The 12,872-nt window shown below is 40.7% G+C and overlaps 1 long non-coding RNA gene across 1 annotated transcript; it reads right to left on the bottom strand.

The window, feature by feature from the left end:
- Nucleotides 1-2,207: 2,207 nt before the first annotated feature.
- Nucleotides 2,208-2,766, bottom strand: LOC124902885 (uncharacterized). The gene is made up of 2 exons (XR_007063221.1): nt 2,480-2,766; nt 2,208-2,369 (listed from the first exon to the last, which is right to left on the bottom strand). It is a non-coding gene; the product is annotated as an uncharacterized LOC124902885 (long non-coding RNA).
- Nucleotides 2,767-12,872: the final 10,106 nt, after the last annotated feature.

Below are 12,872 nucleotides of genomic sequence, written 5' to 3'. Positions count from 1 at the left end.
AACATCTTTACAATGCATTTTTCTACTTGCTGACATTCAATAACAATTTTATTATATTATTTTATATACTTATTTGTATGTGTATAATATTGAAGTGAATCCTTCCTTCTCATCTTGTAGTTCTTCATAACTGCCAGTTACTTTTGCCGGTCTTCTTCATAGGCAGTCCTGTTCTTTGTAGCTCCGGGGGTCTCATAACCAAAGAATGGGACTTCAGAAAGAAGAAATTTGTAAAGATTCACCCATTTATTAAAGATCAGATCTTTAGAAGGGCACAGTGACTCATGCCTATAATCCCAGCACTTTGGGAGGCCAAGGCGGGCAGATCACAAGGTCAGGAGTTCAAGACCAGCCTGACCCACATGGCGAAACCCTGTCTCTCCTTAAAAAAAAAAAACAAGAAATACAAAAAAAAAAAAAAAAATTGGCCGGGCATGGTGGTGCAGGCTTGTAATCCCAGCTACTCAGCAGGCTGAGGCAGGAGAATCGATTAAACCTGGGAGGTGGAGGTTGCAGTGAGCCGAGATCCTGGATCCTGCCATTGCACTCCAGCCTGGGCAACAGAGAGAGACTCTGTCTCAAAAAAAAAAAAAAAAATCAGATCTTATAAACATCTGCAATTTTTTCTCTGTCTTGAGAATCTTTTGCCAGGTCTACATCCATTTCCCCAGGGCTATGTTATTGTTGAGATGTCTGGATACATCTCAGCTATTTTTCATTGTGGAATCATTCAATGGCCCTCACTGACAAGACTGCCATACTTTTTCTTTAGAGTACGAAGGAAGTGATAATATTATACAATATAAATTTGAAAAAGATGTTAACATATTTGGAAGACTATGATGGAAGGAGCGGGACTGAAGCAGGATTCAAAGGAATGACTGGAAAGTTTGGGTTTGAGTCTCACCTATTCTATGTATGTGCCTCTATGACACTGGAAAAATTACTTTTATCTTTGAACTTTAGTTTATTAAGGTTAATGTAATAATTATTAGGATTGCTTGAGATCCCAGGGTGATAATCCCTATTAAGTAAAGTTTGGCTATTACTTTTCTCTTAAGTTAATACTACATTGCCTTCTCTGGGAAATAATCATTTCTCTAATTGTTAGAACTTACGGGAAGGCAGAGACTTCATTCAGGCTGTTTCTTTGAGGCTGAAAAAGTATTTGAGATAACAGATTTTAAATGTAGCTTTTATTGTTTTCTAGGTATGGGGTGGCCAACAGATCAAAAAAGATAGCCATTTGAAAGATAGTTTATTACTCACAGTTCCCAAGAGGAGGCAGCATGCCATGCTGTGCAGGGCCACATAGGGAAGTATCAGGGTCAGTCAGAAGGCAGAAGGAGTAAAGGTGAAATGACAAGGGCCTTTATTATGGTCTCCATGGGAAGAAATGGGAAAGGGTTAGGAGGGTAAGGAGGCTTAGGATTGGCTGGTTTCGATAATTTCAGCAGGCTCTGGGGCATAGGAGCTTTCCCTTGTTGCCTGGAACCTGGCCCTGGGTGGAGTGGCTGGGTGGTAGCCCAGCATGTGAGAGCCCCATGAGAGTCCAGTAAGGAGATAGTTGGGGTATGGACTCTGGACTGGTTGGTTTGCATATAAAAGCTATACTAGCAGGTGAGTTTATTACTATCTCCAGGAATTGGCTATCTCTAGGAGGGAGGGGCAATCTCTCCAAGGTAAGCAAAGTCCCAGATGTCAAAGCATTAGAAATACATAGTAAAACAGCCCCAACGTCCACTTGTCAGGGGATTCCTGTCCTTCCTCGCCTATTGGGTCATGCCAGAAGGGAAGGCTGCATTCATCAGGCCCATCTTAATACACATATACCTTGAGCAGTCAGGGGTAGGATGAGGGCTATGTAGCGTATTGAGAGAGAGTAGTTTATTTATATACTCATTCACTCATTTAAATATTCATTAAACAACTATGAGTGTGGCAGGCAAAGCTGCCCTCTGAGAGAGAGAGAGCAATTGGTGATGATTGGATGATGAGCTATAGAACAGAGACTTTTCAGTTGTAGTGACAACAGGCAACATGGAAGCCACCAGAATGGTTCTGAGTCACGGACAGAAAGCAGCCAAACAGGGAAAGCAATACACAAAGAAAGAGGTATGTTGTGGAGGGGACTGGGCAGGAGGCTGGCCGTGGGCTGAGGGGGCCCCAGAGCTGGGGGAGGAGGAGCCACAAAGGAAACAGTCCACAACCATCATAAGCTAACTTTATTTCACAATTGAATTTGGAACCAGTCCTATTTATTTCACCTTTCTGAAAATATCTGGTTTTCTAAACAGAGAAAAGTAAGACTGGAAGTGGGATGGATCTGACTCATGGCTCCTAATTGCAGAAACCTTACATGGCGAGACCTAGAGAATTGGAAAAGGAGAAAGTTAAACACGAACACCTTTTGAGTGTTGAACTTTTGGAAAAAAGGTACTCTGGAAATCAAAGAAGCAAGTGAATTTTAAAATCATACCTCTGTAAATTTGAAGGTGATTCACCCTCCTTCGAATCACTTCTAAGATAGGTCTCTCTTTTCTTTCTGTTCTGGAACAAGAAGTCATTGTTTTTGTGGCCTTGACAATGAAATATCTGAGTCATACTAGGGGTGGAAGGATATGTGTGAGTAAAGGATGAGGGTGTTAAGCCACTTCTATAGTTTATGAAAAGTTGTGTGGAATCCAGGCTTTAATGTTTAATTATCCAAACAATTTCACTAAATCTTAATAGCAGGATTTAATTTCTACATTAGCCCACTGGTCTTAAAATGGTAATATGGTGTTAGCATACACTTAAGGAAGAAAAAATAGAGCACGTTTGACATAATTCAAGCTGTGGTGAAGTAACAATTTTAAAATTGTTAATTTTAAAATTAACATTGTATTACGGGTCATGTTTTCCAAGAAGACTCTGCAACTAAATTCCATTGCAAGGAGTTTATTGGGGAGCGTCTGGGGATCTGTGAAGAAATAAAGAAAGTAGGGTTCCACAGAAATATAAGTTAGGCTGCGATGCAGTCACAACAAAGGCTTAGATTATCCCATGTGGATATTTGGTGCTGAGGTTTCCTTGTAGAGTACCCCAAATTGGAGAATGAGACCCAGGCCTCTATACCCCAACATTGAACATCTGATGTTGCAAGCTGCACATAGGAAAGGTGCATGCTCGTGGGCAAGATGGCTCATTTGAGCAGAGGGAGATTTCTGGGCTGGTTGGTGGGTGGGATTCATCTAAGAGCTCTTAGCTGTCAACATACTCAGAGCTGGGAGAAGCTAATGACTTTGGGGTGATCTGTGCGGCTCACCACAGCATCCACTACACATGTCTAGAACTGTATCTCCTTTTATACCATCATAGTTATTGCACCAATGCTATGCAAAAGAATAAGGAAAGGATGGATTCATTTTATCAAATAAAAGATGTAGCACCCTCATTAAGTTTGTGCTGGGGGAGAACACGTCTATGTTGTCTTCACTAAAAGGTAATCCTGCCGGGGCAGTAGAAGTATTCACTTTACAATCACTCACTCATTCATTCCCTCACCAAGCATTTCTTGAGTGCCTACTAAGAGATAAAGATGTATCAGGAAATAGATCTGGCCAGGTGCAGTGGTTCACAACAGTAATCCTAACATTTTGGGAGGCTTAGGTGGAAGGATCACTTGAGGCCAAGAGTTCAAGACTAGCCTGAACAATATAGTGAGACCCTGTCTCTACAAAAAATAAAAAATAACCAGGGTGTCGTGGCATGCACCTGTAGTCCCAGCTACTCAGAAGGCTAAGGTGGGAGGGTTCCTTGAGCCCAGGAGGTCGAGGAAATAGATCAGACTCACGAAGCCTAATGTTGACTTCACATCTTCTCCTCTCCAGCCATCTAGTTCCCTAGTGTAAGATAAACATGAAGTTCACTGGGAACTTGAGGAATGGCCTGAATTTCTAATGTACTTAGTAGATAGTCAAATATTTTAATGATAATAATAATGATGATGATGTATACGCAATAAGAATAAGGCAAAGACTTGTATAGTAACTTGGGAGTGAGCAAAAAACGATGTTAGATTTAACTCCAAATTCTGACCTTAATGCTTATTTATGCCAGCTAAATTTCATGGAGGTGATCTTATCTGTTGTTAAATATCTCTTGTCTTTATGTCCAGAGTTGGTAGTACCTTACCTTCCTGTCTTCATTTCCTGCTCCTCACTCCTGCCACATCCTCCTTTTTGCTAATAATTGCCCACCCTGTGGTCCATCCTTTACTACTTTCCTACCAGTTCATGGCCTCTATCTCTACTTCTCCCTCCATCTCCATCTCTTCAAATAATGTTGCTCTAGGTCACTACATGGGACAAAAGTTCAGGCAGGTTGAGTGATAATATGAGGGCTGAGCACAAAGGGGAATGATCAGGGAAGGAAGTCTCTGAAAGGAGGTGGATACATATTGAACAGTACGTTGAAAGTTCTGGCCCTGTCCTGCAATCTCTACCTGGTACACCATGACCATCAGAATCTTATTGGTTCCAAAGGGCACTCTTTTGAGACCTACATACCCTTTACTCCACCACACTTTGGCAAACACGTCACAGAATGAAAATGGGGAAGAATGACTACTTGTGACCTAACTCCTCAGACCTGCAGCCTCTCTTGGATTGACTCATTCTCTTGACTCCATGCTGTTTTTTCCCATAACACCACTAATAATATACCAAGGCTGAGGAAGGGAAGAGGCTAAGTCAGCCAACAAGTGGTAATGTTAGGTGTTCATGGGAGGGCAGGGTGGTTTGTGGTAGGATATTTACATGATTGTGAAATACAAGAATGGTGGTGGGTGATAATGTGATGTTGACTTGTAAGGTGAGTGCTAATGGGTCAGAGAATCACTGCTCTGTTGAAGCCAGCTGATGTTTAGGAAAGAATGGTAGCCAATATAGTTAAGGCTGGAGATAATTATGCAAGCCAGACAAAGTGTTAAAATGGCAATTTACTAAAGGCTATCTACAGTTTGAGAACTGTCTTATGACCCTCTGGTTCCTCCATTTTCTCATTTTCCAATTTTCTAAGTTGCAAAATATTCAAGTTTCTCAAGGTTTCCTCAAGAAGATTCACCATTTCTGTCTGTGTGATTCTAATTACAACTTTGTATCTTAACATAGCCATTTCTGGAAAGCACAGGTCACAAAACACAATTTCTACATGCCTCTCAAAATGTCTGATTTTAAGTTCAATGTTATCAAATTCTAAGCAGAGATGGAAATTTTAGGAATGAACTTAAAAGGACTTCGTCACTTGATAACTAACGAATGAATGAGGAAAGCTGTGATAACCATCAATCAGGCTCTTAAAAGAAATGTATTTTGAAGAGGCCATTATTAGTTATGATTCTTAGTCATCAAAAACAGAATAGAACCCAAACCACAGCAAAGGCTATTTTGTTCATAGAACTAATATTAATTTCTCATCCTCCTCTACAAATTTCTACGTTTCTGTAAAAGACACACCCCTTAAATAAAGATACTAAAAAATCCTTTGAGATAGAAGGTTTTATTTTATTTTTACTATAGAGAGATTGAGCCTCTAAGATCTGAACAAAGTGGTCACAGTTGTATGAAAGGGAAGAAATCTCAAGGGAATGGAGAAATCTCCTAAGGATAAAGTCACTTTTCCAAGCAGCCATTGTCTTCACCAGTTATGGTGCTCAGCACTCAAAGGACTGTTAGTGTTTGGTTTAGTTGAAACATCTAGTCTTTTGCAGTCTGCCATTGGAAAATGACTGTACATTGGAAGAGTCAAGGAAGGAGTATCATTCATCATGAAGGGGCCTGTGAAAGAAGATGTCTCTTTGGGCATGAAGAGTTAAATTTTAAAACAATGAGTCTTAGAAATGAAATGACTGTTCTGGTTCCAAATGTTGTACATCTCCAAAATTAGCCCAACATGTTGAAGTAAATTAACTAGAAGCACTTTTTGTGAAAATGAACATAGTATTTAGTATTAATTTACTGTACAACTTCACTACATCTCAGTATTCATTTACTGTACAACTTTCCATTGTACATTTCGGGATTCATTTACTGTTACAACTTCTCTAATTCCTATTAATGGAGGGGATTGGGGGGAGATCATGGCCCACTGTAAAGAAAATTAGAGGAGGGATATTTGGGTTCTAATCCTGACCTCCCTGTGAAACTCAGTATGCCATTTTGGGAATATCACTGTATCTCGTTTTCTCCACAGGTGAAATAGAGTTCAAATTAATTTTCTTTTCTTTTTTTTTTTTTTTTTTTTTACAGTTTTTTTCGTGAGATAGGGTCTCACTCTGTCACCCAAGGTGGAGTGCAGTGGTATGATCATAGCTGTAACCTTGAACTCCTGGGCTCAAGCAATCCTCCTGCTTCAGCCTCCTGAGTAGCTGGGACAATAGGCACTTGCCATCACATCCAGCTCAAATTAACTTTCTGTCTCCTTATAAGTATACTGTAGGGATTAAGCGAGATGAGGAATGGAAAGCATTCTGAAATGTAAAAATACACATTGACTTTGGCCTGGACTCAGACATTCCTTAAACGTTGATTAAGTACACACCTACCTGCATCTAAATGCTGAAGCACTACTGAAGGCACCCTAAAATGGCTGAGAAGGAGAGGGAAGAAGCCAGATAATCTCCAAACACAGAGTCTACCAATTACTAAAGAGTTTACTGTGGGCCGGGCACCATGGCTCATGCCTGTAATCCCAGCACTCTAGGAGGCCGAGGCGGGGGGATCACAAGGTCAGGAGTTCGAGACCAGCCTGGCCAATATGGTGAAACCCTGTCTCTACTAAAAGTATAAAAATTAGCTGGGTGTGGTGGTGGGTGCCTGTAGTCCCAGCTACTTGGGAGACTGAGGCAGGAGAATCACTTGAACCCAGGAGGTGGAGTTTGCAGTGAGCCAAGATCGTGCCACTGCACTCTAGCCTGAGTGACAGAGCGAGACTCCTTTTCAAAAAAAAAAAAAAAAAAGAGTTGGCTGTGAATCTATGCTCAACTGTGTGCAAATTGAATTGTTGCCACATTTATGTTCCCAACCGACAGAAGCCAAAATTAAATCTCCCCATTTGTAGGTACTGTCTGGTAATTTAGTGATACATTGCTTTAATCTATGGCTGTGAATGCAGAGGCAAAAACATCTAACTTCTCTGAGACTCAGTTTTCTCCACACAGTTATGAAGAAAATGCCATAAGGGTCCTTCCTAGCTCTAATCTCTTGAGTTTTGAAAACTGAAGGAAAAGGAGGTCAGAATTGATAGACTAACTAGTTCATGTCCCAGGCACCAGGCCAGACATTTTGCCTCTCTATTGTCTCTTCATAATGAAAATAACTTCAGTTCAGTTAAGGCCAGTGCAGCCTTAATCTACTGCTGGTTTGTAAATCAATCACTCACCCCAACTCAAGAGCAGCCGATTCTATTTCTGTATGACTTTCTGTGCCAAAACTCAACCCCCAGTTTGTTTGGTTTTAATAAATGTATTCTGTTGTTACGGACATTGTGTAAAATGGAAAAAACAAGTCTAGACTGGTTTTAGTTCAGGAAGTTAGGGCAGGGTCCCTTTATTAAAAATAAACATCCTCCTGCTTGCTTCCTTTTCACTCTTTTCTCACAAATCTGTTCCCAAAAGCCCTTGGAATCCGGGACTCCAACATGCAATGATTGCCCCAGATCTCTGTACTACACCTGACCACTTTCTGAAATATTTGAAGCCGAGGATACAGGAAGTTCTTAAAGGTAACAATACAGGTTGTATGTGACACAAAATTAATGATCTGATAACTACCCTGATAGGATCTTTTGGCTTCCTATAACGAAAGTTGGCACAATTATCCTAGCGAATGAGACACATTTTTAGTCTGAATCTTGCATTCCTTGTTTTTTGGCACTCACTGCCTTTCTAATTAAAGATGGTGGCCTGTAACACTTCCTGTCCCGTCGAAACAGGAAAAGTTCCCTTGTCCCCCTCGCAGGGTGTGCGATGCAGATGTGGCTCGCTTCTTCATTGTCCCGCTGCTCAGACCTCTAGGGGAGCATGCAGATGGGCAGGTTGTTGGGCTCCGACCCCATGACAGTGTCTAGGGGTGAATGTTTACAGCTCCTGAAGCCCCAGTGGGTGTGTGTTACAGGGTGCTCTTTTAGTTTAGCCATCCGTAGTCGGCTTGCGTAAGCTCAGTTAGACCCTTTATCTTCTGCAAAGACGGAGGGCTTTCTGTACCCTGGGTTCTTGCCTTGATGTACCAGAAGAATCAGATCACACCGAGGCTTGGAGAATGAGTGCAAGGTTTTACTGAATGGGAGTAGCTCTCAGCAGATGGGGGAGCCAGAAGGGAGATGGTTTTCCCCTGAAGTCTGGCTGATCAGCAGCCTGGACTCTCCTCTAACTGTCCCTACCAAATTTGTGTCGTTCTGCTTCTGCCGGTCGGTGGCCTGCAGGTGTGCCAGTGTCAGTGTGTTCCTCTCGACGTCCAGCTCAGCTGCCTCTAGTCTGCCTGCTAGGGTCTTGGGAGTTTTTATAGGCACAAGATGGGGGCATGGCAGGCCAGGGTGGTCTTGGGAAATGCAACAGTTGGGCAGGAAATGCCTGTCCTCACCTAGGTCTGTGGGAGTGGAGCCCTAGGGAGGGACCACGCCCTCCTCTACCCAGCGCTTCCATATCAGCAATAGGGTATTTGATGCTGTAACTCAATCCAGGGTCGAGTTTGTTTTCAGTCCTTGTCTTTTCACCTTTGGGGTTTTCCTTTTTTTGGTGGGTCTGCCTCTTTCTTTTCTTCTCAGGGGATTTTGTGAAGTACCATTAAAATATAAAAGTTTCTGATTAGTGAAGGACACAAGTGGCCTGCAAGAAGAAATACATTAGTAAATATTTATTGTTCTCCAGCAAACACTTGGAAGAGCATAGTGTGGCAGTTAGGCGCAAAGGCTCTGGGGTAGAGAACCTGAGTATTTACCTACCGTGTGAACCTTCACAAGTCTCATTTCTCTGTGCTTCAGTTTCTGCAATGTGAAGTGCGAATAGTAACAGAACTAACCTTATAGCCTTATTGTGAAGATTTAAATAAGCAGCACAAGTTAAGCACTTGGAAGGTGACTTGGCACAGAGCAAGCCTCAGTTATTACAATTGAGGAATATCCCAAAGCACTCAGAAGTCACATACGTCTCAAGCTTTCTGTGTTTTTTCTTTGTTTCTGGTCTGTGCTAAGGCACTAGCTGTTCATTCCACCTAGAATACACTCCCCACCTTCCCTCGCTGGCAGCCTCTCATCAGTCATGAAATGGGTGTCTCTGGAAACTCCCTCATGCTCCTGGGCTCCCCTAACACATGGTGATACACCTGACTAATATAGAATTAATCACATCTTATTACCACCATTAATTTCTATGTTTGCTTATTTAAAAAAAAACATATAACACATATTGGGAACTCAATATATAGTTTAAATATCTCTGGGATACATCCAAACACTAGTTCCCAATAGCTTCTTTCTGCCACCCTGTTCATGTTGATCTGAAAATGTGTGAACACATGACAGTGACCAGCCAGAAAGCACAGAGCTGTCTGAGGCATGAAGAAGGTCTTTGAGCACAGAGCTGGGGGGACAGCAAGTGGGGACTTGAGCCTCAGGACCAGAACTGAGCAATTCAAGAGACTCCACAGAGTTTAACTTTTCAGTTTCCAAACTTAGTTTACTTACCTTCACGAATGAATTTGTCATAACCTATTGGTTTTCTCCCCTAAGAAAGTGTGTGTGTGTGTGTGTGTGTGTGTGTGTGTGTTTCCCTAGGAAGACCATATAAATTAGCCCCCTATGGGCAAATTAACTTTTTGGAATTTAGCTAGTTAACTAAAGAACCTTTGGGAAATTGTAAGCTTAGATTAGACCAAGGCATTTACTCATATAAGTAAACAATAAAAGAAAATTTTTTTTATAAATGGATGTTTTAATAACGAAAAAGAATATAATAATAAATAAGAAATGAATAAGGAATAGGGCCAAGAATTAAAAAGGGAAGACAGATAAAAACAAAAATAAAGAGAGAAACTAAAGCTTTCTTTCCTTGTGAAATGACAAGGCACAAAATGTGGTTTCAATATCTCCCTCTCTCTCTCTTTCCTCTCTTCTTACTGGCTCCTAGCCAGTCTGGCTCTGGGGATGATCGCAGAAACCCTAAGAGGTAAAGGACATAAACTGTGTAACCAACAATTTAGATTAATCAAATCAACAAATATTTAAGGCAGTGTGGAGTCATGAAGAGAGCTGAGATCTAAGTTCTGATTACAACTCCAGCATGTATTGGTTCTATCTCTGAGCAGGTTAGCCTTTCTAAGCCTAAAACGGAAGTAACACCCATACCTGGAAAGGTTTCTGTGAATACTAGAAATAGTATAGGTAACGTAATTAAGCATTTGATAAATAATAGATATTCTCATTTTATTAGCCTAACCAAGTATATAAAGCAATGCAAATAAAACATGGTTCCTAACTTCAAGCAGGTTCACAGGCAATAAATATGTGATGCATTACATTTAAAAATAGGACTAAAACACCTTAGGTAACTGTTTCCTGAAAATCCATTAGAAATTTTTCAAAAGTAAAAGAAGAGAAAGATTCTTTAGACTTTCTGGGGGAAAGGGGCAAAATGCTTAAGGCATGTAAAAGGTGGCAAAATTTGCCTCCTAAAACAAACATGCTATAATGATTTGGCATTTTGTTAGAAAATAGATTTTTACCCAAATATTTCTCAGGCTAATTAAATCCTCTATCAGTGGTCACATGTCCACAGAAAACAGAATTGAATTGGCAGGCAAAGACGGGAAAAGGCATTCCAAAAGAATGGAGTGGTGTAACACAAAGGGACCCAGGTGTCTGAAATGATCCTGAGCTTTTAATCACGTCCCCTACAGCTACCCAGCCCCACTGGAAGAAACTCCTGACACCCTTGTTTATTCGGAGCTACCTTTTGGACTTTTTCCATTTTCTTATAACCTTGCACTAGGCCTAGAGGCCTACTGCTGATCTCAACTCTCGACTTCCTGCCACATTTCCCATCTACAGTCTCACACTCTAAGATCCAACATATAATATCGTTTCCCTGGTTCTATTCCTTGGTCCCCTTCCTTGATAACAATTTTAACTTGCCTCTTACATTGTATCTGTTTCTAGTCCCTCCAGAGGACTCAGCCTGATCCTTTGAGACTATTAAGACTAGAGTTCATGTTGAATCCTTGATCCCTAAAGAGAGAATGGAAAAAGACATGGAAAATACAAGACATTTGTAAATTAATTTGCCCGAAGCAGAGTATTTGGGAAGTTGAGTGGTTAAAAACATTGGCAAAATTTTTTGCAAAATTACAGAGTTCTTTCCACATTGCCTCTCTCATAAAATACTTTGTGTTTGCCAAATTATATTAGCTGAGAAGGCCCATGGCCCACCAAAGGCTCAGTGACAGCCTGAAGCTGTGGATCTGAGGTTATGCCAGGTCACTGAACTGCCTTTGTAGCCAAAGTCAGCCTCCAGGGGGAGAAGGGCTTTCTGTTGTCTGCTTAAAGAGGAGTACAAAAGTATTTATGGCTACAGTCATGTTTCTGACAACAAACCCAATTATAAGCCAACATTAAGGAAGTGATTTAGCAACACTTTTAGTGTGACTTGGTCAAACAACAAATATGTATTGATCGCCTACTCTGTGCAAATCAACCCAATGGGCTTATGTGGTTTAAACTCTGTCTATATAACTCAGTTTTATTGATATTGTGCAACATATTGTTTGGTCTTATTACTGTTACTCATGAAAGAGTCAAAAAATAATAAGCAAAGGGAAATTATGGTCATTTGCTCCTAAAGGCTCATTTCTTTCATCTATCCCTGAGTACCAAATGGTTGGTTCTATGGTGGAAGATAGGTGGGACCCATTTAGGGAAAAGGGTATTGCCATTAATTTTGAAAAAATAAATCGCAGTGTTTTATTTGCATGGGATGATGACTCTCAAGTTTGCATTTCCAGCTAAGATTAAACACGGAACTCCTACTGCTTACTCTATCTTTCCATCTAGATATCACAAAAACATCTCAACTCTTTATACTGGCTTATATTTCTCCCTTCAAACTGTGAACTGCTCTAGATTAGCATCAATTGTGCAATCCAGAACAAAGGACCCATGCTTGACACCAGACCTTTACTCCTGCATTCGTTGGTTCACCACCACCTTCTAAAGAATTTCCATATCCCTCTTCTTCTTTCTTCCTCTTACACTTCATCTTGGTTTAAGTCATGATCACCTCTTACCTGAGCTGCTGCAGTGCCCGACCCCTAGCTGATTTCCCTGCATTAACTCTTACCAGTCTCTAATCTATTCTCCACAGTGCTTCCAGATTCATTTATAAAAAACACAATCTGTTTATGTCTCTCTTGTCCTTCTTAAAGTTCTTAATCATTTCCAATCACTTCAAGATCTTTTTAAAAAATCAGTTCTTTTGCATTTTTACATGGACCTGCCTAAATCCCCGGCCTCATCATGTGTCTTTCAATACTTCAAGCCTTGTTCCACCTTACAACTTACATAATTACTGTTCCTTCAGCCTGTAAGACTCTCTCTTTCTGGTATTACTTCCCCCTTTATCCATTTAACTCTCATTTATACTTCAAATTGCAGATCAAACATTCTTTTTAAGAATTTTTTTCTAACCCCCTAAACTAAGTCTGGATCCTCTGTCATGTACTTTCCTAACTGTCTATACTTTTCCTTCATTAACTTTATCAAATTTCATAATCGCACGTTTTTATGATGATCGCATTCCACAAAACTGTGTGTCCCACCAGGGTCGCAATCTACTCATCTTG

Source organism: Homo sapiens, chromosome 12 (assembly GCF_000001405.40).
Source record: "Homo sapiens chromosome 12, GRCh38.p14 Primary Assembly".
In the NCBI taxonomy this organism is placed as follows: domain Eukaryota; kingdom Metazoa; phylum Chordata; class Mammalia; order Primates; family Hominidae; genus Homo; species Homo sapiens.
This window is presented reverse-complemented; position numbering and strand designations above follow the sequence as displayed.